A 25081-nucleotide genomic window follows, 5' to 3' on the forward strand; every position below is an offset into this window, starting at 1 on the left:
ATATTTATATCTATAAATATATATGAATATTATATATAAATATATAATATTTATATCTATAAATATATATGAATATTATATATAATATATAATATATATCTATTAAATATATATAAATATTATATATAAATATATAATATATATCTATTAAATATATATAAATATTATATATAAATATATAATATATCTATTAAATATATATAAATGTTATATATAAATATATAATATATATCTATGAAATATATAAATATTATATATAAATATATAATATATATCTATTAAATATATATAATATATAATATTTATATCTATAAATATATAACTATTATATATAAATATATAATATATATCTATTATATATAACATTATATATAATATTTATGTCTATAAATATATATAAACATTATATATATATTATATATCTATTAAATATATATAACTATTATATATAATATTCTATATCTATAAATATATATAACTATTTTATATATCTCTCTCTCTCTTTCTCTCTCTCCAGGTCCATGTACCCCCTGAATCTAAAATAAAAGGAGAAAAAAATACCAGAATGGCCACCAAAACAAAGCAAAAAAGGCTGAATGTTGTGTGCAGCAGGAGAAATACATTTAGAATTTCACCATGGGAGGAGGTAATCCCCAAATCCAGGCAGAGCACAGCCTGGGGAGAACAACCGTCATCTCACCAGCTCTCCCCGGTGTTGCCCTTAGAAAAGGAACTGGTTTCATTTTTTAAATTATTATTTGTTTTTGAGATGGAGTCTCACTGTGTCACCCAGGCTGGAGTGCAGTGGCGCAATCTCGGCTCACTGCAACCTCCGCCTCCTGGGTTCAAGTGATTCTCCTGCCTCAGCCTGTCGGGTAGCTGGGACGACAGGTACCCGCCACCACACCTGGCTAATTTTTTGTATTTTTAGTAGAGATGGGGTTCACCATGTTGGCCAGGGTAGTCTCTAACTCCTGACCTCAAGTGATCCGCTGGCCTCAGCCTCCCAAAGTGCTGAGTCACTGCGCCCGGCCTTCACATGCACTCTTTAAAGCAACACCAGGTTGACGTCTACTTGGGTTTCACAAACTATGACCCACCGCCCAGGCCAAATCTGACGCACTGCCTGTTTTGGGGCAGTCGGTGAGCTCATGGTTAAGCAAAATCAAAAGAAGGATAATAATGTTCACGACACACGAAAATGATGTGAAGTTCAAAATTCAGTGTCCATAAATAAAGTTTTATTGGCACAAAGCCCTGCCCACTCCTTTACCTGTTTTTCGTGAATCTTCCGTCATCCCACAACAGCAGAGCCCTCCTACCTCAGCCTCCCAAGTAGCTGGGATTACGGGCATCCGCCACCACACCTGGCTAATTTTTTTTTTGTATTTTTAGTAGAGACGGGGTTTCACCATGTTGTCCAGGCTGGTTTTGAACTCCTGACCTCAAATGATCTGCCTGCCTTGGCCTCCCAAGGTGCTAAAATTACAGGAATGAGCCACCATGCCTGGTAACTGTATTTCTCTTAAAGGGGTCCTTTCTTTTGGAAATTGATGCTGAAATATTTATTTATTTATTTATTTATTTATTGAGACAGAGTTACACTCTGTTGCCCAGGTTGGAGTGCAGTGGTGTAATCTCAACTCACTGCAAACCTCTGCCTCCCGGGTTCAAGCGATTCTCCTGCCTCAGCCTCCTGAGTAGCTGGGGCTACAGGTGTGTACCACCATGCCCGGCTAATTTTTGTATTTTTAGTAAAGATGGGGTTTCACCATGTTGGCAAGGCTGGTCTTGAACTCCTGACCTCAAGTGATCCGCCTGCCTCGGCCTCAGGTGGATCACCTGAGGTCAGGAGTTTGAGACAAGCCTGGCCAATATGGTGAAACCTCGTCTCTACTAAAAATACAAAAATTAGCTGGGCGAGATGACACCCACCTGTAATCCCAGGTACTCGGGAGGCTGAGGCAGGAGAATCGCTTAAATCTGGGAGGTGGAGGTTGCAGTGAGCCAAGATCGCACCATTGTGCTCCAGCCTGGGCGAGAGAGCGAGACTCCAACTCAAAAAATAAAATAAAATAAAATAAGCATTGGATTGCATTTTTTAGGCTGTGTCTTTGTGATACCTTACCCTGTTTTAACCGGAGTGACTGTCTCCTAGCAGAGAGAGCTGGACAGACTCCATTTTGGTTTCTTCACTTGGGGCCCCCCGTATCCCCCTTAAGGGAATAACTAGTGCAAGCTGACACCAAGCACATCCAGGAATGCACCTGCTGATAAGATATTGAGGCAGCCTGTATTAGCAGCTCCTGCTCGGTGGAAGGTACCTAAAAGCCCCTGCATTTATCTCTTAGTGATAGTTTAAGCCCCTGCACCTGGAACTGTTTATTTTTTGTAACTGCTTCCATAACCAATTAATTTTTTAACTTTTTGCCTGTTCTGCTTCTGTAAAACTACTTCAGTTAAACTCCCCCTCCTCTATTTAGACCATAGTATAAAAGAGAATCTAGCCCCTTCTTCGAGATGGAGAGAATTCTAAGCGCTAGCTGTCTCTCAGTCGCTGGCTAATAAAGGACTCCATAATTTGTCTCAAAGTGTGGCATTTCTCTCTAACTCGCTTGGTTACAACATCTTGTCTTTCTGGTGACACCTGTTGACATGATGTGCCTTAGAGTCAGTGAAATGTTACTGCTGAGGCCGCAGCATTCTCCCGAGGGAATAAAGCCATGTGCAGCATAACGAGGTTTCTGTCAATGACAGACTGCACGTCCGACGGTGGCCCCACCGATTATAATGGAGCTAAGACTGCAATTGCCCGGTGATGTTGTCGCTGTCCTAATGGAGTAGCTCAAGGCGTTACTCTAATGTTTGTGCCGATGCTGGTGTACACAGACCTACTTGACTGCCAGTCATAGAAAAGCATAGCACATATAATTGTGTACAGTACATCATACCTGTCAATGGCAACGGGCAGGACATGGTGGCTCGCACCTGTAATCCCAGCACTTTGGGAGGCTGAAGTAGGGCAATCGCTCGAGGCCAGAAGTTCGAGACCAGCCCATGCAACATAGTGAGACCCTGTCTCTACAAAAAAGAAAAAAAAGTCAATAAACAACTATGTTACTGGTGTATATATTTACTATATATAGGTTTCTTTGTTTGTTTTTTGAGATGGAGTCTCGTTCTGTCACCCAGGCTGGCTCACTGCAACCTCTGCCTCCCCAGTTCAAGTGATTCTCCTGCCTCAGCCTCCTGAGTAGCTGGGATTATAGGCATGCACCACCATGCCCGAATACTTTTTGTATTTTTAGTAGAGATGGGGTTTCACTATGTTGGCCAGGCTGGTCTCGAACTCCTGACCTCAAGTGATCCACCCACTTTGGCCTCCCAAAGTGCTGGGAAACAGGTATGAGCCACCACGGCCGGCCTTTATTCACCGTACTATAGTTTTTATTGTTATTTTAGAGTGTACTCCTTTTACTTATAAAGAAAAGTTAACTGCTTGAGTCTAAGAGTTCGAGACCAGCCTGGGCAATATAGTGAGACTTAGTCTCTGCAAAAAAGAAAAAAATGTAAAAATTAGCCCAGTGTGGTGGTGTGTGCCTTAGTTCCCGCTACTCAGGAGGCTGAGGTGGGAGGATCGTTTGAGCCTGAGAGGCATAAGCTGCAGTGAGCTGAGACTGTGCCACTGCATTCCCGCCTGGGTAACAGAGTGGGACCTTGCCTCAAAAAAAAAAAAAAGGAAAGGGAAAAATTAACTGTCAAAACAGCCTCAGGCAGCTCCTTCAGAAGGTGTCCAGAAAAAAGCACTGTTATCCTAGGAGACGACAGCTCCAAGGGTGTTATTGCCCCTGAAGATCTTCCAGTGGGATAAGACGTGGAGATGGAAGACAGTGACGTTGATGATCCTGACCCTGCATAGGCCTAGGCTGATGTGTGTGTGTTTGTGTCTTACATTTTTTCTTTTTCTGAGATGGAGTCTTGCTCTGTCACCCAGGCAGGAGTGTAATGGTGTGATCTCGGCTCACTGCAATCTCTGCCTCCTGGGTTGAAGTGATTCTTTTGCCTTAGCCTTCCCAGTAGCTGGAATTACAGCACTTTGGGAGGCCGAGGTGGACGGATCACTGGAGGTCAGGCGTTTTGAGACCAGCCTGGCCAACATGGTGAAAACCCATCTCTACTAAAAATACAAAAATTATCCAGGTGTGGTGGTGCATGCCTGTAATCCCAGCTACTTGGGAGGCTGTGGCAGAAGAATCGCTTGAACCTGGGAGGCGGAGGTTGCAGTGAGTTGAGATTGTGCCATTGCAAATCAGTGTGGGTGACAGAGTGGGACTCCGTCTCAAAAAATAAATAGATGGTCGCATTTGGGCTATGGCCTAGACCCCTGTGCTAGATCATCTGGCACAGGTGTGTAGCAGACTCTCCCACCTAGGTTTGTGTAAGCACACTCTATGATATCTATACAATGATGAAATCACCTAAGGATACATCTCTCAGAATTTATTCCTGATGTTAATCGAAGCAGGACTATAGCAGTATTAATAACGAGACCTAACAATGCTTGAGCACCTACTATGTGCCAAGAAGTTTTTTTTGTTTTGTTCTGTTTTTGTTTTTGATGAATCTCACTCTGTTGCCCAGGCTGGAGTGCAGTAGCTCAATCTCGACCGGCTGCAACCTCCACCTCTGAGGTTCAAGCAATTCGCCTGCCTCAGCCTCCGAAGTAGCTGGGATTACAGGCACCCACCCTGATGTCTGGCTAATTTTTGTATTTTTAGTAGAGACAGGGTTTCGCCATGTTGGCCAGGCTGGTCTTGAACTCCTTGTCTCAGGTAATCCACCCGCCTTGGCCTCCCAAAGTGCTGGGATCACAGGCGTGAGCCACCGAGCCCGGCCGCAAGAAGTTTTAAGTGTTTTGTATCTCTTAACAAATTTCATTAGCACAAAGAGGGCAGAGGAGAATTGGAATGGCCTTGCGGAAAGACCTCCCTGGCACCCGCCTCCTCCTTATGCCCCAAGCCTGCAGCCCCTGGGGCCTATTATTAGGGCCCACATCTGGTGACATTTCCCGGACTGATAGCGATCTCTGAAGCTCTTGCTCAAGGTTCTTTCCTGGACGTTTATCTGCTCCAAAACTCACAGCTAGCTTCCTGCCATCAGCCCCCTACCTTTAACGTGGGCTCAAGGCTGGCGGCCACCTGGGACTGACGACAGAGACAGAAAGAGCCCCCTCACCTTGCCTCACCCTCAGACACAGCACAAGGTGACGGGACCGGGATTCGTTGCGGGGTGTGTCTCAGGGAGCCAGGAGGTAGGAGCTTGGGGATTAGGAGAGTTGAAGGGCACTCTCCAGGGTATACAAAAAGGAGGTAGTGGGCTGGGCACAGTGGCTCACCCCTGTAATCCTAGCACTTAGGGAGGCCGAGGCAGGTGGATCACCTGAGGTCAAGAGTTGGAGACCACCCTGGCCAACATAGTGAATCCCCATCTCTACTAAAAATACAAAAACCAGCCGGGTGTGGTGGCAGCTGCCTGTAATCCCAGCTACTTAGGAGGCTGAGGCAGGAGAATTGCTTGAACCCAGGAGACAGAGGTTGCAGTGAGCTGAGATCGTGCCATTGCACTCCGGCCTAGGCAATAGAGTGAGACTCCATCTCAAAAGAAAAAAAAAAAAAGAGGTGGCAAAAAGGGGCTGAAAGTTCTGGGCCACCTCCTCTGGGTGAGGAATGTTCTCATGCCATATGCGTGAACTGTGCCTGGTCAGAGGTATTTGACTGTCTTCATCACTGCGGTACCCCCAGCGCTTAGGATAGTGTCTGGTGTACAATTTGGGCTCAATGCATAATTTTACACTAAATGAATGAATCCATCCTCAGATGACAAAGGAGAGATTGCCCTCCTTAATGGATCACTCATCGATTATTTACCAAGTGCCTGCTGTGTTCCAGGGGCCAGGAGCAAGCCACACACCAGCCTCGCCTCTAGGGAACTCAGAGATGAATAATGCAGATGGGTGATCACCAAATGATCCAACAAACGCGGTCTAATTGCTGCTGCCTGTAACCAGCTCTTTTTTTGTGGGGGCTCGGGGGGAACGGGGGGACAACAGAGTCTTGCTCTATCACCCAGGCTGGAGTGCAGTGGCATGATCACAGTTCTCTCCAAACTCCGCCTCCCGGGTTCAAGCGATTCTCCTGCCTCAGCCTCCCAAGTAGCTGAGATTACAGGCATGCACCACCACACCCAGCTAATTTTTGTATCTTTAGTAGAGATGGGGGTCTCACCATGTTGGCCAGGCTGGTCTCAAACTCCTGACCTCATGCGATCCTCCCACCTTAGCTTCCCAAAGTACTGGTATTACAGGTGTGAGCCACCGTTCCCAGCCTGTAATCATCTCTTCATGGGAGAGAAGCTCCTATAGGAGGGTCTGATTGAAAAGGGCAGGAAAAACTTTGGGGAGAAAGTGAAATTTGCACTGAGATCGCAGGAATGAGTTAAAAAAAAAAAAAAGCAGAGGAAAGAAAAGGTGTTCCAGGCAGAGGGGCAGCACATGCAAAGGCCCTGGGGTGGGAGGGAGATGAGAATCTTGGCAATGGACACAAAGGTAGGGAAGCCGGGATTTGGTGCACAAAGAGGGGGAAGGTGCAAGAGAAGTCTGGAGAGGCTGGCAGGTGCCCCAGCTCTCACCAGTGGTGCCGGGGAGACTCATATTTATCCCACAAGCAATGAAGAGCCACAGTGTAATTTTCCAGTTTGAACTGTATTTTTTTTTTTTTTGAGACAGGGTCTCACTCTGTTGCCCAGGCTGGAGTGCAGTGGCACAGTCATGGTTCACTGCAGCCTCAATCTCCTGAGCTCAAGTGATCCTCGTGCCTCAGCCTCTCGGGTAGCTGGAATTACAATGCAAGCCACACTGTTTGGCCAATTTATTTTTATTTTGTAGAGACAGGGTTTCGCCTTGCCACCTAGACTGGTCCTGAAGCCCTGGCCTCAAGTGATTCTCCTGCCTGGGTCTCCCACAGCGCTGGGGTTACAAGGTTTGGGCTTTCAAAGGATCACTCTAGCTGTAGGGTGGTGAGTGGCTGGTAGGAGATGAATATAAAGCTGAGGGCCAGGCACAGTGGCGCACACCTGTACTCCCAGCACTTTGGGAGGCCGAGGTGCATGAATCACCTGAGGTCAGGAGTTCAAGACCAGCCTGGTCAATATGGTGAAACCCCGTCTCTACTAAAAATATAAAAATTAGCTGGGCATGTCCCCAGGGTGTGTGCCTATAGTCCCAACTACTCTACTCAGGAGGCTGAAGCAGGAGAATTGCTTGAACCCGAGAGGCAGAGGTTGCAGTGAGCCAAGATTGTACCACTGCACTCCAGCTTAGGCAACACAGTGAGATCCTGTCTCAAAAAAAAAAAAAAATGCTGGGGCGCTGTGTGCTTGGATGATAGGGCTGTGGAGACAGGACATAGTGGACAGAGGCAAGAGGCTTTTTGGAGGCAAAATCGACAGGGCTTTGTGATGAATTGGGTGTGCGTGTTGGGGGAGTAGGAGACAGAGGTATTCAAGGATTCTACACCTCTATCTCAGACGAGCATACTGAGGCTCAGGGTGGGGATGGGGGGCAGAAAGCTCTGAACCCAGGATCACACAGTCATAATCCAGCATCTCAACTAGAGCTTCGACCTATGCCTGTCTGCTGTGTAAGCTCAAGCTTTCCTCAACCCCAGACCTCTCTTCTCTGCCTGCACCTCACCCTCGGAGGTCATTTTCAGGTTCAAAGACATAAATAGTATCTAAATTATTTTTGTATTTTTTTGTAGAGACAAGGAAGGTCTTGTCATGTTGTCCAGGCTGACCTGGAACTCCTGGACCCACACAATCTTCCCGCCTCTGTCTCCCAAAGTGCTGGGACTAGAAAAGTGAGCCACTGTGCCCTGCTGGCATCTAAATTCTGACTCCCACATGCCCGTACCCAGCCAGGAACCCCTCTGTAATTTTTTTGTTTTAATTTTGAGACAGAGCCTCACTTTGTCACCCAGACTGGAGTGCTGTGGTGTGATCTTGCCTCACTGTAACCCCCATCTCCTGGGTTCAAGCGATTCCCCTGCCTCAGCCTCCCGAGTAGCTAGGATTACAGGCACCTGCAACCACACCCATCTAATTTTTGTATTTTTAGTAGAGATGGGGTTTTGCCATGTTGGCCAGGCTGGTCTCAAACTCCTGACCTCAGGTGATCCGCCCACCTCGGCCTTCCAAAGTGCTGGGATTACAGGCGTGAGCCACTGTGCTGGGCCCCCTCCTGTAATCTTGCTGCCGGTATCCAGCTGCCTAAGTGAACTTTCCCCGGGATGTCTTACAGGCATTTCAAAGGCGAAGTGACCAACCCGGAGCTCCTGGTCTTACCCCAAACCTGAGCTCCTGGTCTTACCCCAAACCTGCTCTCCTGCAGTCTCCCCCATCCCAGTGCACAGCAACTCCAGCTTCCATCGGTTCAAAAGTCCTGCAGTCACCCCGACACTGCTCTCCCTCTCACCTCACACATCCAGCCCAGCAGCAAATCTAGCCAGCTCCACCTTGACCCTGGAATCTGCTTCCCACCCCCTCCTCTGACATCACCCTGGTCCCCATCCCCATCACTGCCCACCTGGGTTACTGCAGCAGCTTCCTCCCGGCCTCCTGCTTCCATCCCACCCCCTCAGTCTAGTCTCAACCTTAAAGTCACAGTGATTGTTAAGACCTAAGTCAGATATTGTTCCTTCTCTGCTCAACAGTCTCTTGTAACTCCCATCTCACTCACAGGAAAGGCCAGGAGAGTCTGCACTATGACTCACAGGGTCCTGCTCCATCTGTCCGCTTCCCTCTCTGCCTTCACGTCTCACCTCTCTTCCCATTGCCCACGTGGCTCCAGCCACACCGGCCTCCCTGCTGTTCCTTGAGCATTCCAGGCACCGTCCTGCCTCAGGACCTTTGCACAAGCTGCTGGTTCTGCCTGAAGGGCTCTTCCTCCAGATACGTATGTGCCTCACTTTGTCATTTCCTCCAAAACTTTGCTCAAATGTTATATTCTTTTTTTTTTTTTTTGTAATAGTCTCTCCCTGTCTCCCATGCTGTAGTGCAATGGCGTGATCTCGGCTCACTGCAACCTCTGCCTCCCGGGTTAAAGTGATTCTCCTGCCCTAACCTCCCGAGTAGCTGGGATTACATGTGTGTGCTACCACGCCCAGCTAATTTTTTTGTGTTTTTAGTAGAGACGGGGTTTCACCACGTTGGCCAGGATGGTCTTGAACCCTTAATCTCAGGTGATCCTCCCGCCTTGGCATCCCAAAGTGTTGAGATTACAGGCATGAGCCACCGAGCCTGGCCAAATGTTATATTCTTATTGAGGTCTTCCCTGACAACCCCGTTTAATGTACCAGTGTCCCCTTTCTGCTTTCCGTCTTGTCCCTCACATTCTCAATTCTCCTTAACTTGATTTTTTTTTTTTTTTTTTGGAGATGGAGTCTCACTCTGTCGCCGAGGCTGGAGTGCAGTGGCCTGATCTCGGCTCCCTGCAACCTCCAACCTCCCAGGTTCAAGTGATTCTCAGCCTCCCGAATACCTGGGATTACAGGTGTGCACCACCATGCCTGGCTAATTTTTGTATTTTTAGTAGAGACAGGGTTTCGCCCTGTTGAGCAGGCTGGTCTCGAACTCCTGACCTCAGGTGATCTGCCTGCCTTGACCTCCCAAAGTGTTGGGGTTACAGGCGTGAGCCACTGCACCCGGCCAAAAAATTTTTAATTATTTATTTTTTATAGAGACTGGGTCTCACTATGTTGGCCACCTTGGACTGGAACTCCTGACTTCATCCAGTCCTTCTGCTTCAGCCTCACAAAGTGCTGTGATTACAGGCATGACCCTCCACACCTGGCCCCCTCCACTTTACTTATTATTTTTCCATAACACTTGGCAATCTTCTAAAGCAGTATATCATGAATTAATTTATTATATGTATTATACCTGACATCTCCCACTGGGATGTAAGTTCCACGAGGGCTTGTTTTGTTACATGAGTTATCTCTGGTACTTAGAGCAATATTATTGTGTCCAGTGAGCCGAGATCGTGCCATTGCACTGCAGCCTGGGTGACACAGCAAGACTGTGTCTCAAAAAAAAAAAAAAAAAGAAAGAAAGAAAGAAAAAAGAACAGTATTATTGGGTCATAAAAAGCATTCAGGCTGTGCTCAATGTCTCACACTTGTAATCCCAGCACTCTGGGAGGCCAAGGTGGGAGGATCACTTGAAGCCAATAGTTGAAGAGTAGCCTGGGCAACACAGCAAGACCCCATCTCTACAGAAAAGAAAACTAAGGCTAGGCACAGTGGCTCACACCTGCAATCCTAGCATTTTGGAGGCTGAGGTGGGTGGATCATGAGGTCAGGAGTTGGAGACCAGCCTGGCCAAAATCATAAAACCCCGTCTCTACTAAAAACACAAAAATTAGCCAGGCGTGGTGGCGTGTGCATGTAGTTCCAGCTACTTGGGAGGCTGAGGCGGGAGAATTGCTTGAACCTGGTAGGTGGAGGTTGCAGTGAGCCGAGATCAGGCCACTGCACTCCAGCCTGGGAGACAGAGCAAGACTGCATCTCAAAAAAAATAAATAAATAAAAAAAATTAAAAAAATTAGCCAGGCATGGTGGTAAGTGCCTGTAGTCCCAGCTACTCCAGGAAGCTGAGGTGGGAGGATCTCTTGAGCCTAGGAAGTGGAGGCTGCAGTGATCTATGATTGTACCATTGCACTCCAGCCTGGGTGACAGAATGTGACCCTGTCTCAAAAAGAATAATAATAATAATCATTCCATAAAAAGTATCAAATGGAGAAATAAATCATCAGTGGGGTCTCGGAGGGGACCAGGGGCTGCAGTGACAGGCAACCTGGGGCCCTGACACAGGGTCATTCCTGTTCCAGGAAGATGAATGCTTCCAGATGCCTGTCTGAGGAAGTGGGGTCCCTCCGCCCTCTAACCATGGCTGTCCTGTCTGCCTCCTTTGTCGTCGGAGTGCTGGGCAATGGGCTGGTGCCGTGGGTGACTGTCTTCCGCATGGCCCGCACAGTCTCCACCGTCTGCTTCTTCCACCTGGCCCTTGCCGATTTCATGCTCTCACTGTCTCTGCCCATCCTCGTGTACTATATTGTCTCCAGGCAGTGGCTCCTTGGAGAGTGGGCCTGCAAACTCTACACCGGTTTTGTGTTCCTCACCTTCTCCACCAGTAACTGCCTCCTGGTCCTCATCTCTGTGGACCGTTGCATCTCTGTCCTCTACCCCGTCTGGGCCCTGAACCACCGCACTGAGCAGAGGGCGAGCTGGCTGGCCTTCGGGGTGTGGCTCCTGGCCGCCGCCTTGTGCTCTGCGCACCTGAAATTCCGGACAACCAGAAAATGGAATGGCTGTATGCAGTGCTACTTACAGTTCAACTTGGAGAATGAGACTGCCCAGATGTGGACTCAGGAGGTCTTTGGGAGACAAATGGCGGTGATCATGGCCCACTTCCTGCTGGGCTTCCTGGGGCCCTTAGCAATCATAGGCACCTGCGCCCACCTCATCCGGGCCAAGCTCTTGCGGGAGGGCTGGGTCCATGCCAACCGGCCCAAGAGGCTGCTGCTGGTGCTGGTGAGCGCTTTATCTGCTGGTTCCCATTTAACGTGATGCTGTTGGTCCATCTGTGGCGACGGGTGATGCTCAAGGAATTCTACCACCCCCAGATGCTGCTCATCCTCCAGGCTAGCTTTGCCTTGGGCTGTGTCAACAACTGCCTCAACCCGTTCCTCTACGTCTTCGTTGGCAGAGATTTCCAAGAAAAGTTTTTCCAGTCTTTGACTTCTGCCCTGGCGAGGGCGTTTGGAGAGGAGGAGTTTCTGTCATCCCGTCCCCGTGGCAACGCCCCCCGGGAATGATGGAAGACTTCAGCTGGAAGCTGGAAGCCGTCCTTCTTAGTTTGCTTGTGGCCTCTTACCTTGACTGGCTTCTAAAACCCTGCCAAATCCTGCCTCTTCTTTCAGGAAGTCTTCCGGCAACCCCTCATCTAAAGCTCTGTGGTAGAGACAGCTACTTACTCCCCAGTGTCCATTCTTCCCTTTCTTTTTATCTTTTTCCTTTTTTATTTTTTGGAGACAGAGTCTTATTTTGTCACCCAGGCTGGAGCGCAGTGGCACAGTCTTGGCTCACTGCAGCCTTGACCTCCAGGGCTCAAGCCATCCTCCTGCCTCAGCACCCCCGCCCCCCACCCCCAAATAGCTGGGACTACAGGCATGTGCCACCAAGCCTGGCTAATTTGTAGAGATGGGGTTTCATCATTTTGCCCAGGATGGTCTCAAGCTCCTGAGTTCAAATGATCCTCCAGCCTTGGCCCCCCAAAATGCTGGGATTACAGGTGTGAGCCACAGCGCCTGGCCTCCCCTTTGCTTGTAGTAAGACTCCTGTTTGTTTCAAACGAGGCACATGCTTAACTAGAAAAGAAAAAAAAGACTACATTTCCCAGAATCCTTTGCATGTCGTACAGCCATGTGACTGCTTCTGGCCAATAAAATGTAAGTGGCAGCAATCAATGTAACTTCCTTGAAGAGCCATTAAATGGAAGAGGCCTGTCCTCCATTTCCCCATCTCCCCCTTTCTATTGTCCAGAATGCAGGCATACCAGTTAGCTCTTGTTGCGCAACAAACACCATCAAAGTTTAGAGGCTTAAAAACATAACCATTTTTTTTATAGTGTCTTGTTCTGTTGCCCAGGTTGGAGTGCAGTGGTGTGATCATAGCTCACCACCACCTCAATCTCCCAGGCTCAAGTAGTCCTCTCACTTCAGCCTCCTGAGTAGCTGGGATTACAGGCATACCCCACTGTGCCCAGCTAATTTTTTTTTTTTTTTCTTGAGACGGAATCTCACTTTGTTGCCCAGGCTGGAGTGCAGTGGCGCCATCTCAGCTCACTGCAAGCTCCGCCTCCCGGGTTCACGCCATTCTCCTGCCTCAGCCTCCCGAGTAGCTGGGACTACAGGCGCCCGCCACCATGCCCGGCTAATTTTTTGCATTTTTTTTAGTAGAGACGGGGTTTCACCATGTTAGCCAGGATGGTCTGTATCTCCTGACCTCGTGATCTGCCCGCCTCAGCCTCCCAAAATGCTGGGATTACAGGCGTGAGCCACTGCGCCCAGCCCACCTGGCTAATTTTTTTAAAAAAGTTTTTGTAGAGATGGAGTCTTGCTATGTTGCCCAGGCTGGTCTCAAACTCCTGGCCTCAAGCAATCCTCCTGCCTCAGCCTCCCAAAGTGTTGGGATTATAGACGTGAGCCACCACACCTGGCTTCATAACCTTTTATGATTTCTGTGGATCAGCAGTTTGGGCTGGGCTCAGCTCAGTAGTTTTCTCATCTTGCGTCTGGGTTTCTTTATGCATCTGTGGGTCACCTAAGTGATTCTGCTTCTGGGAGAGTGGCTGGCTTGGGGTGATGGGATTGGCTAATCCACATAGCTCTTATCATCCTGCAGGCTGGCTTTTTCGTTTGATGGTTGGGGAGGGTTCCAAGAGTAAGGAAAGTATGAGGCGGAGGCTCAGAACTTTGCACAAGGTGACTAGCACTCAAGCTACTGGTCAAAAAGCAAGTCACGAGCCTGGCTTAGATTCGAGGTGTGAGGAAAGGACTCCACCCCTTGATGGGAAAATCTAAAGAGTGACATTGCTAAGGAGCACGTATGCAGGAAGGTGTGCAGAACGGGGGCCATTTGTGTAATCTGCCACAGCAGCCCTGATGCAAAGCTACCGTGTACCCAGGGAGTCCCTAGGCCAGCCCTGAGATGCTTACACCCAGGTTGTGAAAGGGGAGGTTTCAAATTCCAGCTCATTGAAGCCACTGTTATTTTGTGTCTCTCCTGCAACAGCTGAATCTACCCCTTAACTATTAATTATGCTGCCAAACTCTGGAACTTGTGTAAAGTGACTTAATAAATTTCCTTATTGTTGAAGCCAGTTGGAGTCAGGTTTTCTGTTACTTAAAACCCCCCCAAAAAAACAAACTGGTGCATGTGAAGAATAGTCCTTTCTGGGGATTGAAGTCCCAGTGGTCCCTGGTCACAACAGGCCATTCCCTTGGCTCTTAAGTCGAGGCAAAAGAAAAATGTCATGCAATCCAGAAGCTGTCACACCACTTGCTCATGATTCAAAGAAGTAAATCTGCCCAGGTGGGGTGGCTCATGCCTGTAATTTCATCACTTTGGGAGGCTGAAGTAGGCGGATCACTTGAGGTCAGGAGTTTGAGACCAGTCTGGCCAACATGGTGAAACCCCTTCTCTATGAAACATACAAAAATTAGCCAGACGTGGTGGCAGGCACCTGTAGTCTCAGCTACTCCAGAGACAGAGGAAGGAGAATCGCTTGAACCTGGGAGACAGACGTTGCAGTGAGCCAAGAGCTCGTCACTGTACTGCAGGTTGGGTGACAGAGACTCTTTCTCAAAAAAAAAAAAAAAAAAAAAAAGCATCTATGACTTGCCATGAGAACTCCACCTCTCAGAGACTCATTTGCCCCCAAATCTATAAAATAGGAACAAATGTTTCCATCTTCTGGATGAGGAGAGGATTAAATGACACAGTGACTGAGTGCCAGGAAGCACAGAGTCACCTTAAAAAAAATTAACTCCTGGGCCGGGCAGGGTGACTCAAGCCTGTAATCCCAGCACTTTGGGAGGCCAAGGTGGGCGGATCACCTGAGGTCGGGAGTTCGAGACCAGCCTGACCAATATGGAGAAACCCCATCTCTACTAAAAATACAAAATTAGCCGGGCGTGGTGGCACATGCCTGTAATCCCAGCTACTCGGGAGGCTGAGGCAGGAGAATTGCTTGAACCCAGGAGGCGGAGGTTGCAGTGAGGCGAGGTCGCACCATTGCTCTCCAGCCTGGGTGACAGAGCAAGACTCCGACTCAAAAAAGAAAAATAAAAAGAAAATTAAAAAAGCATTGGATTGTATTTTTTAGGCGGTGTCTTGTCTTTCTGGTGACACCTGTTGACATGATGTGTCTTAGAGTCAGTGAAATGTTACCCGTGAGGCCACAGTATTCTCCTGAGGAAATAAAGCCATGCACAGCATAACGAGGTTTCTGTCAATGACAGACTGCACGTCCGACAGCGGCCCCACCGATTATAATGGAGCTGAAAGACTGCAGTTGCCCGGTGATGTTGTAGCTGTCCTAATGGAGTAGCTCAAGGCGTTACTCTAATGTTTGTGCTGATGCTGGTGTACACAGACCTACTTGACCGCCAGTCGTATAAAAGCATAGCACATACAACTGTGTACAGTACGTCATACTAGTCCATGGCAACAGGCAGGACATGGTGGCTCACAGTTATAATCCCAGCACTTTGGGAGGCCGAGGAGGGTGGATCATGAGGTCAGGAGATCGAGACCATCCTGGCTAACACGGTGAAACCCCATCTTTACTAAAAATTACAAAAAATTAGCCGGGCATGGTGGCGGGCGCCTGTAGTCTCAGCTACTCCGGAGGCTGAGGCAGGAGAATAGCATGAATCCGGGAGGCGGAGCTTGCAGTGAGCCAAGATCGCGCCACTGCACTCCAGCCTGGGTGACAGAGCGAGACTCCATCTCAAAAACAAAAAGTAATAATAATAATAATGAGAGCAGTATTAACAATAGAGAGCTAACAATGCCTGAGCGCCTACTATGTGCCAAGAAGTTTTTTTTGTTTTGTTCTGTGTTTGCTTTGTTTTTGTTTTTGATTATTCTCACTGTCGCCCAGGCTGGAGTGCGGTAGCTCAATCTCGACTCGCTGCAACCTCCGCTTCTCAGATTTAAGCGATTCTCCTGCCTCAGCCTCCCAAGTAGCTGGGATTACAGGCACCCACCCTGATGTCTGGCTAATTTTTGTATTTTTAGTAGAGACAGGGTTTCGCCATGTTGGCCAGGCTGGTCTTGAACTCCTTGTCTCAGGTAATCCACCCGCCTTGGCCTCCCAAAGTGCTGGGATCACAGGCGTGAGCCACCGAGCCCGGCCGCAAGAAGTTTTAAGTGTTTTGTATCTCTTAACAAATTTCATTAGCACAAGGAGGGCAGAGGAGAATTGGAATGGCCTTGCGGAAAGACCTCCCTGTCACCCGCCTCCTCCTTATGCCCCAAGCCTGCAGCCCCTGGGGCCTATTATTAGGGCCCACATCTGGTGACATTTCCCGGACTGATAGCGATCTCTGAAGCTCTTGCTCAAGGTTCTTTCCTGGACATTTATCTGCTCCAAAACTCACAGCTAGCTTCCTGCCATCAGCCCCCTACCTTTAACGTGGGCTCAAGGCTGGCGGTTGCCTGGGACTGACGACGGAGCAGAGAAAGCCCCCTCATCTTGCTTTCATCCTCGGACACAGCACAAGGTGACAGGGGACTGGGATTTGTTGGGAGGATCTCAGGGAGCCAGGAGGTAGGAGCTTGGGGACTAAGAGAGTTGAAGGGCACTTTCCAGGGTATACAAAAAGGAGCTGGCGGGCTGGGTGCGGCCGCTCATCCCTGAAATCCCAGCAGTTTGGGAGGCTGAGGCAGGTGGATCACCTGAGGTCAAGAGTTGGAGACCAGCCTGGCCAACATGGTGAAACCCCGTCTTTACTAAAAATACAAAAATTAGCTGGGTATGGTGGCAGGTGCCTGTACTCTCAATTACTCAGGAGGCTGAGGCAGGAGAATCGCTTGAACCTGGGAGGCGGAGGTTGCAGTGAGCTGAGATTGTGCCACTGCACTCCAGCCTAGGCAATAGAGTGAGACTCTGTCTCAAAACAAAACAAAACAAAACAAAAAGAGGTGGCAAAAAGGGGCTGAAAGTTCTGGGCCACCTCCTCTGGGTGAGGAATGTTCTCATGCCATATGCGTGAACTGTGCCTGATCAGAGGTATTTGACTGTCTTCATCACTGCGGTATCCCCAGCGCTTAGGATAGTGTATGGCGTACGATTTGGGCTCAATGCATAATTTTACACTAAATGAATGAATCCATCCTCAGATGACAAAGGAGAGATTGTCCTCCTTAATGATCACTCATCCATTATTTACCAAGTGCCTGCTGTGTTCCAGGGGCCAGGAGCAAGCCACACACCAGCCTCGCCTCTAGGGAACCCAGAGATGAATAATGCAGATGGGTGATCACCAAATGACCAAACAAACGGTCTAATTGCTGCTGCCTGTAACTAGCTCTTTTTTTTTTTTTTTTTTTGGTTGAGGGGAGATCAGAGTCTTGCTCTGTCACCCAGGCTGGAGTGCAGTGGCACGATCATGGCTCACTCCAACCTCTGCCTCCCGGGTTCAAGCAATATCTCCTGCCTCAGCCTCCCAAGTAGCTGGGATTACAGGCGTGTGCCACCTTACCCGGCTAATTTTTGTATTTTTAGTAGAGACAGGATTTCACCATGTTGGCCAGGCTGGTCTTGAACTCCTGACCTCAGGCGATCCTCCCACCTCAGCCTCCCAAAGTCCTGGGATTACAGGCGTGACCCACCATGCCCAGCCTGTAACCATGTCTTCATAGGAGAGAAGGTCCTATAGGAGGGCCTGATTCATCAAGGTGGCTGGGAAAAGCTTTGGGGAGAAAGTGAAATTTGCACTGAGATCTCAGGAAGGAGTTAAAAAAAAAAAAAAAGCAGAGGAAAGAAAGGGTGCTCCAGGCAGAGGGGCAGCACATGCAAAGGCCCTGGGTGGGAGGGAGACGAGAATCTTGGCAATGGACACAAAGGTAGGGAAGCCGGGATTTGGTGCACAAAGAGGGGGAAGGTGCAAGAGAAGTCTGGAGAGGCCAGCAGGTGCCCCAGCCCTCACCAGCGGTGTCGGGGAGACTCATATTTATCCCACAAGCAATGAAGAGCCACAGTGTAATTTTCCAGTTTGAACTGTATTTTTTTTTTTTTGAGACAGGGTCTCACTCTGTTGCCCAGGCTGGAGTGCAGTGGCACAGTCATGGCTCACTGCAGCCTCGACCTCCTGAGCTCAAGTGATCCTCATGCCTCAGCCTCCTGGGTAGCTGGAACTACAATGCAAGCCACCCTGTTTAGCTAATTTATTTTTATTTTGTAGAGACAGGGTTTCGCCTTGCCGCCTAGACTGGTCTTGAAGCCCTGGCCTCAAGTAATTCTCCTGCTTGGGTCTCCCACAGCGCTGGGGTTACAAGGTTTGGGCTTTCAAAGCATCACTCTGGCTGTAGGGTGGTGAGTGGCTGGTAGGAGATAAATATAAAGCTGGAGTCCAGGCACGGTGGCTCACGCCTGTACTCCCCACACTTTGGGAGGCCGAGGTGCGTGAATCACCCGAGGTCAGGAGTTCAAGACCAGCCTGGCCAACATGGTGAAACCCCGTCGCTACTAAAAATACAAAAAATAGCCAGGCGTGTCCCTGGGGTGCGTCTCAACTATACTACTTAGGAGGCTGAGGCAGGAGAATTGCTTGAATCCGAGAGGCAGAGGTTGCAGTGAACCAAGATTGTACCACTGCACTCCAGCTCGGGCAACAGAGCGAGATCCTGTCTCAAAAAAAAAAAAAAAAAAAAGCTGGGGCCCTGTGTGCTTGGGTGATAGGGCTATGGAGACAGGACATAGTGGACAGAGGCAAGAGGCTTTTTGGAGGCAAAATTGACAGGGCTTTTTGATGAATTGGGTGTGCGTGTTGAGGGAGTAGGAGAGAGAGGTATTCAAGGATTCTACACCCCTATCTCAGATGAGCATAGTGAGGCTCGGGGTGCAGGGGAAGCCCTGAGCCCAAGATCACACAGTCATAATCCAGTGTCTCAACTAGAGCTTCGACTTATGCCTGTCTGCTGTGTAAGCTCAAGCTTTCCTCAACCCCAGACCTCTCTTCTCTGTCTGCACCTCACCCTTGGAGGACATTCTCAGGCTCAAAGACGTAAATAGCATCTAAATGTTTTTTGTTTTTTTTTTTGTAGAGGCAAGGTCATGTTGTGTTGCCCAGGCTCACGCAATCTTCCTGCCTCTGCCTCCCAAAGTGCTGGGACTACAGAGGTGAGCCACTGTGCCCGGCTGGCATCTAAATTCTAACGACTTCGACATGCCCGTATCCAGCCAGAAACCCCTCTGTAATTTTTTTTTTTTTGAGTCTTACTCCGTGACCTAGGCTGGAGGGCAGTGGCGCCATCTTGCCTCATTGCAACCTCCATCTCCTGGGTTCAACGAATTCTCCTGCCTCAGCCTCCCGAGTAGCTGGGATTACAGCCACGTGCCACCACACCCAGCTAATTTTTGTATTTTTAGTAGAGACGGGGTTTTGCCATGTTGGCCAGGCTGGTCTCAAACTCCTGACCTCAGGTGATCCACCCGCCTCGGCCTTCCAATAAGTGCTGGGATTACAGGCGTGAGCCACCATGCCGGGTCCCCTCCTGTAATCTTGCTGCTGGTATCCAGCTGCCTTAGTGAAGTTTCCCCGGGATGCCTTACAGGCATTTCAAAGGCGAAGTGACCAACCCCGAGCTCCTGGTCTTACCCCAAACCTGCTCTCCTGCCGTCTCCCCTATCCCAGTGCACAGCAACTCCAGCTTCCATCGGTTCAAAAGTCCTGCAGTCACCCCGACACTGCTCTCCCTCTCACCTCACACATCCAGCCCAGCAGCAAATCTAGCCAGCTCCACCTTGACCCTGGAATCTGCTTCCCACCCCCTCCTCTGACATCACCCTGGTCCCCATCCCCATCACTGCCCACCTGGGTTACTGCAGCAGCTTCCTCCCGGCCTCCTGCTTCCATCCCACCCCCTCAGTCTAGTCTCAACCTTAAAGTCACAGTGATTGTTAAGACCTAAGTCAGATATTGTTCCTTCTCTGCTCAACAGTCTCTTGTAACTCCCATCTCACTCACAGGAAAGGCCAGGAGAGTCTGCACTATGACTCACAGGGTCCTGCTCCATCTGCCCGCTTCCCTCTCTGCCTTCACCTCTTACCTCTCTTCCCATTGCCCACGTGGCTCCAGCCACACCGGCCTCCCTGCTGTTCCTTGAGCATTCCAGGCACCGTCCTGCCTCAGGACTTTGCACAAGCTGCTGGTTCTGCCTGAAGGGCTCTTCCTCCAGATACGTATGTGCCTCACTACTTTGTTATCTCCTCCAAATCTTTGCTCAAATGTTATATTCTTTTTTTTTTTTTTTGACATGGAGTCTCACCCTGTTGCCTAGGCTCGAGTGCAATGGTGTGATCTCGGCTCACTGCAACCTCTGCCTCCCAGGTTCAAGTGATTCTCCTGCCCCAGCCCTCTGAGTAGCTGGGATTACAGGTGGGAGCCTCCACGCCCAGCTAATTCTTTGTATCTTTAGTAGAGACGGGGTTTCACCATGTTGGCCAGGCTGGTCTCGAACTCCTGACCTCGTGATCCGCACCTCTCAGCCTCCCAAAGTGCTGGGATTACAGGCATGAGCCACTGAGCATGGACAAATGTTACATTCTTATCGGGGTCTTCCCTGACCACCCTGTTTAATGTACCAGTGGCCCCTTTCTGTCTCATCCTTCACATTCCCAGTTGTCCTTATCTTGATTTTTTTTTTTTTTTTTTTTTTTTGGTGACAGAGACTCACTCTGTCACCCAGGCTGGAGTGCAGTGGCCTGATCTCGGCTCACCACAACCTCCAGCTTCCCAGATTCAAGCGATTCTCCTGCCTCAGCCTCCCAAATGCCTGCGATCACAGGTGTGTGCCACCGCACCTGGCTAATTTTTTTATTTTTATTAGTGACGGGGTTTTGCCTTGTTGGCCAGGCTGGTCTCGAACTCCTGACTTCAAGTGATCTGCTCACCTCGGCCTCCCAGTGTGCTGGGATTACGGATGTGAACCACTGCGCTTGGCCTTACCTTGATCTTTTTCTAAAGAAAACATTTCATGATCTTCATTTCTTCCTGTCAATATGTGTCACCATGTGATATTAACTCCTTTCAGCCTAGAGGACTTACTTCCTTAAGCAATTCCTGCGGTCTGTAGGCCATATATTATTTCAGATCTGGCTTATCTGAAAATGCCCTTTTTTCACTTTCATTTTTGAAAGATATTTTCACAGAATATAAAATTCTGGATTGACAGACTTTTCTGCTGCCAATTTTTTCAAATAGTGGAGTAATTTTTAATATTTTGTCCAGATTTTAATTTTTTTTTTGTCTGTGGCACCATTTGTCTGACAAAGTTACTCTGACATTATCCAAAGTTAAAAGAACCTCCATCTCATTATTTTTACTTTATTTTTATTGAGACAGGGTCTCGCTTTATCACCCAGGCTGAAGTGAAATGGCGTGACCATGGCTCATTGCAGCCTCGAATTCCAGGGCTCAAGTGACCCTCGTGTCTCAGTCTCCCAATTTGCTGGGACTACAGGCACGTGCCACCATACCTGACTAATTTTTTTTTTTTTTTTTTTTGAGACAGAGTCTTGCTCTGTTGCCTGGGCTGGAATGAAGTGGCACGATCTTGGCTCACTGCAGCCCCTGCCTCCCAGGTTCAAGGGACTCTCCTGCCTCAGCCTTCAGAGTAGCTGGGATTACAGGCACGCACCACCAAGCCTGGCTAATTTTTGTATTTTTAGTAGAGACAGGCTTTTGCCATGTTGGCCAGGCTGGTCTCGAACTCCTGAACTTAAGTGATCCACCAGCCTCAGCCTCCCAAAGTGCTGGGATTACAGGAATGAGCCACTACGCCCATCTCACGGCTAATTTTTAAATTTTATTTTATTTTTATTTTTTTGAGACGGAGTTTCGCTCTCGTTACCCAGGCTGGAGTGCAGTGGCGCGATCTTGATTCACTGCAACCTCCGCCTCCCAAGTTTAAGTGATTCTTCAGCCTCATGAGTAGCTGGGATTACAGGTGGCTGCCACCACACCCAGCTAATGTTTTTTGTATTTTTAGTAGAGACGGGGTTTCGCCATGCTGGGCAGGCTGATCTCGAACTCCTGACCTCAGGTGATCCGCCTACCTCAGCCTCCCAAAGTGCTGGGATTACAGGCGTGAGCCACTGTGCATGGCCACAAAAACTTGTAATTATTTATTTTTTGTAGAGACGGTCTCACTATGTTGCCCACCTTGGTTTGGAACTCCTGGCTTCAAGCAATCCTTCTGCCTCAGCCTCCCAAAGTGTTGTGATTACAAGCATGAGCCACCACACCTGGCCCCTCCATTTCATTTATTATTTTTCCATAACACTTGTAGTCTTCTAAAGCAGTATATCATGAAGTAAATTTATTATATGTATTACACCTGACATCTCTCACTGGGATGTAAGTTCCATGAGGGCTTGTTTTGTTACACGAGTTATGTCCAGTACTTAGAACAATATTATAGTGTCCAGTGAGCCGAGATCGTGCCATTGCACTGCAGCCTGGGTGACATAAGGAGACTCTGTCTCAAAAAAAAAAAAAAAAAAAGAACAATATTATTGTGTCATAAAAAGCATTCAGGCTGGGCTCAATGGCTCACACTTGTAATCCCAGCACTTTGGGAGGCTGAGGTGGGAGGATCACTTGAAGCCAGGAGTTCAAGACCAGCCTGGGCAACACAGCAAAACCCCATCTCTACAAAAAAGAATTTAAGGCCTGGCAGAGTGGCTCACACCTATAATCCCAGCACTTTGGGAGGCTGGTGGACGGGTCACGAGGTCAGTAGTTCAAGACCAGCCTGGCCAACATGGTAAAACCCTGTCTCTACTAAAAACAGAAAAATTAGCCAGGTGTGGTGGCATGTGCCTGTAGTTCCAGCTACTTGGGAGGCTGAGGCAGGAAAATTGCTTGAACCTTGGAGGTGGAGGTTGCAGTGAGCCGAGATCATACCATTGCACTACAGCCTGGGTGACAGAGAGAGCAAGACTCTGTGTCAAAAAAAAAAAAAAAAAAAAAAGGTAAAAAAATTAGCCAGGCATGGTGGTAAGTGCCTGTAGTCCCAGCTACTCCAGGAGGCTGAGGGGGGAGGATCTCTTGAGCCTAGGAGGTGGAGGCTGCAGTGATCTGTGATTGTACCTTTGCACTCCAGCCTGGGTGACAGAGCATGACGCTGTCTCTAAAAGAATAATAATAATAAGCATTCCATAAAAATTATGGAATGGAGAAATCATGAATGGGGTCTCGGAGGGGACCAGAGGCTGCAGTGACAGGCAACCTGGGGTCCTGACACGTGATCGCTCTTGTTCCAGGAAGATGAACTCTTCCGGATGCCTGTCTGAGGAGGTGGGGTCCCTCCGCCCACTGACTGTGGTTATCCTGTCTGCGTCCATTGTCGTCGGAGTGCTGGGCAATGGGCTGGTGCTGTGGATGACTGTCTTCCGTATGGCACGCACGGTCTCCACCGTCTGCTTCTTCCACCTGGCCCTTGCCGATTTCATGCTCTCACTGTCTCTGCCCATTGCCATGTACTATATTGTCTCCAGGCAGTGGCTCCTCGGAGAGTGGGCCTGCAAACTCTACATCACCTTTGTGTTCCTCAGCTACTTTGCCAGTAACTGCCTCCTTGTCTTCATCTCTGTGGACCGTTGCATCTCTGTCCTCTACCCCGTCTGGGCCCTGAACCACCGCACTGTGCAGCGGGCGAGCTGGCTGGCCTTTGGGGTGTGGCTCCTGGCCGCCGCCTTGTGCTCTGCGCACCTGAAATTCCGGACAACCAGAAAATGGAATGGCTGTACGCACTGCTACTTGGCGTTCAACTCTGACAATGAGACTGCCCAGATTTGGATTGAAGGGGTCGTGGAGGGACACATTATAGGGACCATTGGCCACTTCCTGCTGGGCTTCCTGGGGCCCTTAGCAATCATAGGCACCTGCGCCCACCTCATCCGGGCCAAGCTCTTGCGGGAGGGCTGGGTCCATGCCAACCGGCCCAAGAGGCTGCTGCTGGTGCTGGTGAGCGCTTTCTTTATCTTCTGGTCCCCGTTTAACGTGGTGCTGTTGGTCCATCTGTGGCGACGGGTGATGCTCAAGGAAATCTACCACCCCCGGATGCTGCTCATCCTCCAGGCTAGCTTTGCCTTGGGCTGTGTCAACAGCAGCCTCAACCCCTTCCTCTACGTCTTCGTTGGCAGAGATTTCCAAGAAAAGTTTTTCCAGTCTTTGACTTCTGCCCTGGCGAGGGCGTTTGGAGAGGAGGAGTTTCTGTCATCCTGTCCCCGTGGCAACGCCCCCCGGGAATGATGGAAGACTTCAGCTGGAAGCTGGAAGCCGTCCTTCTTAGTTTGCTTGTGGCCTCTTACCTTGACTGGCTTCTAAAACCCTGCCAAATCCTGCCTCTTCTTTCAGGAAGTCTTCCAGCAACCCCTCATCTAAAGCTCTGTGGTAGAGACAGCTACTTACTCCCCAGTGTCCATTCTTCCCCGCCCCCCCCCCCTTTTTTTTTTGAGATAGAGTCTTGCTCTGTCACCAGGCTGGACTGCAGTGGCGCGATCTCGGCTCACTGCAACCTCTGACTTTCTGGTTCAAGCAATTCTGCCTCAGCCTCCCGAGTAGCTGGGATTACAGGCACGTGCCACCACGCCCAGATAATTTTTGTATATTTTTTAGTAGAGACGGGGTTTAACCACGTTGGCCAGGATGGTCTCAATCTCCTGACCTTGTGATCCGCCTGCCTCGGCCTCCCAAAGGGCTAGGATTACAGGCGTGAGCCACTGCACCTGGCCCATTCTTTCCCTCTCTTTTTCTTTTTTTTAAAAATTTTTTAAAGACAGGGTCTGATTTTGTCACCCAGGCTGGAGCGCAGTGGCAAAATCTCGGCTCACTGCAGCCTTGACCTTCAGGGCTCAAGCCATTCTCCTGCCTCAGGACTCCCCACGCCCCACCCCCCACCTCCCCTCACCCTGCCTAGTACCTGGGACTATAGGCATGTGCTACCTGGGTAATTTGTAGACACGGGGTTTCATCATGTTGCCCAGAGTGGTCTCAAACTCCTGAGTTCAAGTGATCCTCCAGCCTCGGCTCCCAAAACTACTGGGATTACAGGTGTGAGCCACAGCACCTGGCCTCCCCTTTTTTGGTAGTAAAACTCCTGTGTTCTAATGAGGCACGGTGCTTAACTAGAAAAAAGGAAAGACTACATTTCCCAGTATCCTTTGCATG

The 25081-nt window shown here is 49.1% G+C and overlaps 1 protein-coding gene and 1 pseudogene across 1 annotated transcript; both read left to right on the forward strand.

Annotated features, from left to right (window-relative positions):
* GPR32P1 (GPR32 pseudogene 1) lies at nt 10725–11993 on the forward strand (annotated as a pseudogene).
* GPR32 (G protein-coupled receptor 32) lies at nt 22956–24224 on the forward strand. The gene has a single exon (NM_001506.2). It carries the CDS (start codon nt 23093–23095, stop codon nt 24161–24163), a length of 1071 nt encoding a protein of 356 aa, NP_001497.1. The 5' UTR covers nt 22956–23092; the 3' UTR covers nt 24164–24224.
* The last annotated feature ends 857 nt before the right edge of the window (nt 24225–25081 follow it).

The sequence above is a fragment of the Homo sapiens genome, chromosome 19, assembly GCF_000001405.40.
Source record: "Homo sapiens chromosome 19, GRCh38.p14 Primary Assembly".
Lineage (NCBI taxonomy): Eukaryota > Metazoa > Chordata > Mammalia > Primates > Hominidae > Homo > Homo sapiens.